The sequence below is a fragment of the Homo sapiens genome, chromosome 7, assembly GCF_000001405.40.
Source record: "Homo sapiens chromosome 7, GRCh38.p14 Primary Assembly".
Lineage (NCBI taxonomy): Eukaryota > Metazoa > Chordata > Mammalia > Primates > Hominidae > Homo > Homo sapiens.
Window position 1 is genome coordinate 61,724,021 of NC_000007.14, and position 4,685 is coordinate 61,728,705.

The following is a 4,685-nucleotide window of genomic DNA, read 5'->3' on the forward strand; positions in this document are numbered from 1 at the left end:
CATGCTAAAAACTCTCAATAAATTAGGTATTGATGGGACATATCTCAAAATAATAAGAGCTATCTATGACAAACCCACAGCCAATATCATACTGAATGGGCAAAAACTGGAAACATTCCCTTTGAAAATGGACACAAGACAGGGATGCCCTCTCTCACCACTCCTATTCAACAGAGTGTTGGAAGTTCTGGCCAGGGCAATTAGGCAGGAGAAGGAAATAAAAAGGTATTCAACTAGGAAAAGAGGAAGTCAAATTGTCCCTGTTTGCAGATAACATGATTGTATATCTAGAATACCCCATTGTCTCAGCCCAAAATCTCCTTAAGCTAATAAGCAACTTCAGCAAAGTCTCAGGATACAAAATCAATGTACAAAAATCACAAGCATTCTTATACACCAATAACAGACAAACAGAGAGCCAAATCACGAGTGAACTCCCATTCACAATTGCTTCAAAGAGAATAAAATACCTAGGAATCCAACTTACAAGGGACGTGAAGGACCTCTTCAAGGAGAACTACAAACCACTGCTCAATGAAATAAAACAGGATACAAACAAATGGAAGAACATTCCCTGCTCACAGGTAGGAAGAATCAATATCATGAAAATGGCCATAATGCCCAAGGTAACTTATAGATTCAATACCATCCCCATCAAGCTACCAATATGAACAGACACTTCACAGAATTGGAAAAAACTACTTTAAAGTTCATATGGAACCTAAAAAGAGCCCACATCACAAAGTCAATCCTAAGCCAAAAGAACAAAGCTGGAGGCATCACGCTACCTCACTTCAAACTATACTACAAGGCTCCAGTAACTAAAACAGCATGGTACTGGTACCAAAACAGAGATATAGACCAATGGAACAGAACAGAGCCCTCAGAAATAATGCCACATATCTACAACTATCTGATCTTTGACAAACCTGAGAAAAACAAACAATGGGGAAAGGATTCCCTATTTAATAAATGGTGCTGGGAAAACTGGCTAGCCATATGTAGAAAGCTGAAACTGGATCACTTACTTGCACCTATACAAAAATTAATTCAAGGTGGATTAAAGACTTAAACATTAAACCTAAAACCATAAAAACCCTGGAAGAAAACCTAGGCATTACCATTCAGGACATAAGCATGGGCAAGGACTTCATGTCTAAATCACCAAAAGCAATGTCAACAAAAGCCAAAATTGACACATGGGATCTAATTAAACTAAAGAGCTTCTGCACAGCAAAAGAAAGAAACTACCATCAGAGTGAACAGGCAACCTACAAAATGGGAGAAAATTTTCGCAACCTAATCATCTGACAAAGGGTTAATATCCAGAATGTACAATGAACTCAAACAAATTTACAAGAAAAAAACAAACAACCCCATCAAAAAGTGGGCGAAGGGGCCGGGTGCGGTGGCTCACGCCTGTAATCCCAGCACTTTGGGAGGCCGAGGCGGGCAGATCACGAGGTCAGGAGATCGAGACCATCCTGGCTAACACGGTGAAACCCCGTCTCTACTAAAAATACAAAAAATTAGCTGGGCGCAGTGGCGGGCGCCTGTAGTCCCAGCTACTCGGGAGGCTGAGGCAGGAGAATGGCGTGAACCCGGGAGGCGGAGCTTGCAGTGAGCCGAGATCGGGCCACTGCACTCCAGCCTGGGCGACAGAGCGAGACTCCGTCTCAAAAAAAAAATACAAAAATAAAAAATAAAAAAGTGGGCGAAGGATATGAAGAGATACTTCTCAAAAGAAGACATTTATGCAGCCAAAAAACACATGAAAAAATGCTCATCATCATTGGCCATCAGAGAAATGCAAATCAAAACCACAATGAGATATCATCTCACACCAGATAGAATGGCAATCATTAAAAAGTCAGGAAACAACAGGTGCTGGAAAGGATGTGGAGAAATAGGAACACTTTTACACTGTTGGTGGGACTGTAAACTAGTTCAACCATTGTGGAAGTCAGTGTGGCGATTCCTCAGGGATCTAGAACTGGAAGTACCATTTGACCCAGCCATCCCATTACTGGGTATATACCCAAAGGACTATAAATCATGCTGCTATAAATCATCTGTCTAGTTTCCATATGAACATATTTCCTTTTTCAACATAGTCCTCAAAGGACTCAGAAATATCCGATTGTAGATTCCACAAAAAGACTGTTTCCAACCACTGAATCAAAAAAAAAAGGTTCAACTCTTCGAGACTAATGCACACATCACAAAGAATTTTCCCAGAAAGATTCCATTTTCTATGTGAAGATATTTCCTTTTTCACCATAGTCCCAAAACCACTCACAATTATCCCTTCACAGATTCTACAAAAAGACTGTCTCCAAACTGCTCAAACAAAAGAAAGTTTCAACTCAGTGAGATGAATGCACACATAACATAGAAGTTTCTCAGAAAACTTCTGTCTACTTTTAAGTGAAGATAATTCCTTATTCACCACAGGCCCCGAAGCAATCCAAATATGCCTTTGCAGATTCTACATAAACACTGTTTCCAAACTGCTCACTGAAAAGAAAGGTTCAAACCTGGGAGAGGAATGCACACATCACAAAGTGGTTTCTCAGAAAGCTTCTGTATAGCTTTTATGTGAAGATATTTCCTTTTTCACCATACTCCCCAAATTGCTCAATGTATCCCATTGCAGATCCTACAAAAAGACTGTTTCAAAACTGATCAATCAAAACAAAGGTTCAACTCTGTGAGATGAAAGTACACAACACAGAGAACTTTCTCAAAAACTTTCTGTCTAGATTTTATGTGAAGATATTTCCTTTTTCACCAGAGGCCTCAAACCCCTCACAAATATCTCTCTGCAGATTCTACAAAAAGATGGTTACCAAACTTCTCAGTGAAGAGAAAGGTTCAACTCTGTGAGAGGAAAGCACATATCACAAGGGAGTTTCTCAGAAAGCTTCTGTCTAGTTTGTACGTGAAGTTCTTTCCTTTTTCACCAAAGTCCTCAAAGCGTACCAAATATCCATTAGCAGATTCTACAAAAAGATTGTTTCACTGCTGCTCAATCAAAAGATTCAACTCTGAGAGATGAGGGTGCACATTACAAAGGAGTTTCTCAGAAAGCTGAAGTCTAGTTTTTATGAGAAGATATTTCATTTTTCACCATAGCCCTCAAAGGGCTCACAATTAACTCATTGCAGATTCTACAGAAAGACAGTTTCCAATCTGCTCAATCAAAAGAAAGTTCAACTGTGTGAGATGAAAGCACACATCACAAAGAAGTTTCTCAGAAATTTTCCGTCTAGCTTTTATGTGAAGATATTTCCATTCCCACCATGGGCCTCAAAGCACTCCAAATATCCATTTGCAGATTCTACAAAAAGACTGTTTCCAAAGTGTTCAGTCAAAAGGAAGGTTGAGCTCTGTGAGATGAATGCACACATTGCAAAGGAGTATCTCAGAAAGCTTCTGTCTAGTTTTAATGTGAAGATATTTCCTTTTTCACCATGGGCCTCAAAGCACTCCTAATATCCATTTGCAGATTCTACAAAAATACTCTTTCCAAACTGCTCAAACAAAAGAAAGGTTCAACACTATAAGACGAATGCACACATCACAAAGAAGTTTCTCAAAAATCCCCCATCTAATTTTTATGTGAAGATATTTCCTTTTTCACCATAGGCCCCAAACCACTCACGATTATCCCTCTGCAAATCCCAGAAAAAGAGTGTTTCCAAACTGCTCAATGAAAAGAAAGGTTCAATTCTGTGAGATGAATGCACACATCACAAATAATTTTCTGAGAATGCTTCTTTCTAGTTTTTATGTGAAGATATTTCCTTTTTAACCATGGGCCACAAAGCTCTCCAAATATCCCTTGGCGGATTCTGCAAATAGGTGTTTCCAAACTGCTCAAATCAAACAAAGGTTCAAATCTGTGAGATGAAAGCACATATCACAAAGGCGTTTCTCAGAAAACTTCTGTCTAGTTTTTAGGTGAAGATGTTTCCTATTTCACCATAGGCCTCAATGAGCTCTCAAATATCCTTTTGCAGATTCTACAAAAATACTGTCTACGAACTGCTCAATCCAAAGAAATTTTCAACTCTGTGAGATGAATGCACACATCACAAAGAGGTTTCTCAGAATGCTTCTAATTTTCATATGAAGATATTTCTCTTTCTCCATAGGCCTAAAGTCTTTCAGAAATAGCCCTTTGCAGATTGCACAAAAAGAATATATCCAAACTGCTCAATCAAAAGAAAGGTTCAAGTCTGTGATGTGAATGCACACATCACAGAGAAGTTTCTCAGAAATCTTCTGTCTACTTTTCACGTGAATATATTTCCTTTTTCACCAAAGGGCTCAAAGTGCTCCAAATATCCTTTTGCAGACTCTACAAAAAGACTGTTTCCAAACTGCTCAATGAAAAGGAAGGGTCAAATCTGTGAGGTGAATGCACAAAACACAAACAAGTTTCTAAGAAAGATTCTGTCTAGTTTTTTTGTGAAGATATTTCCTTTTTCACCACAGGCCTCAAAGTGCTCCAAATACCCATTTGCAGATTCTACAAAAAGACTGTTTCCAAACTGTTCAATCAAAAGAATGGTTCAACTCTGAGAAAAGAAAGCACACATCAGAAAGAAGTTTCTCAGAAAGCTAAAGTCTAGTTTTTGTGTGAAGATATTTCGTTTTTCACCATGGGCCTCAAAGGGCTC

At 38.8% G+C, this 4,685-nt stretch overlaps 1 annotated feature.

Annotated features, from left to right (window-relative positions):
• Positions 1,254–1,461: a silencer, noted in NCBI's record as "fragment chr7:61532282-61532489 (GRCh37/hg19 assembly coordinates)". NCBI's record gives its function as "represses an EF-1alpha promoter that drives an FKBP-Casp9 reporter gene in an ReSE screen in K562 erythroleukemia cells {active_cell/tissue: K562}" and the evidence as "EXISTENCE:reporter gene assay evidence [ECO:0000049][PMID:32094911]".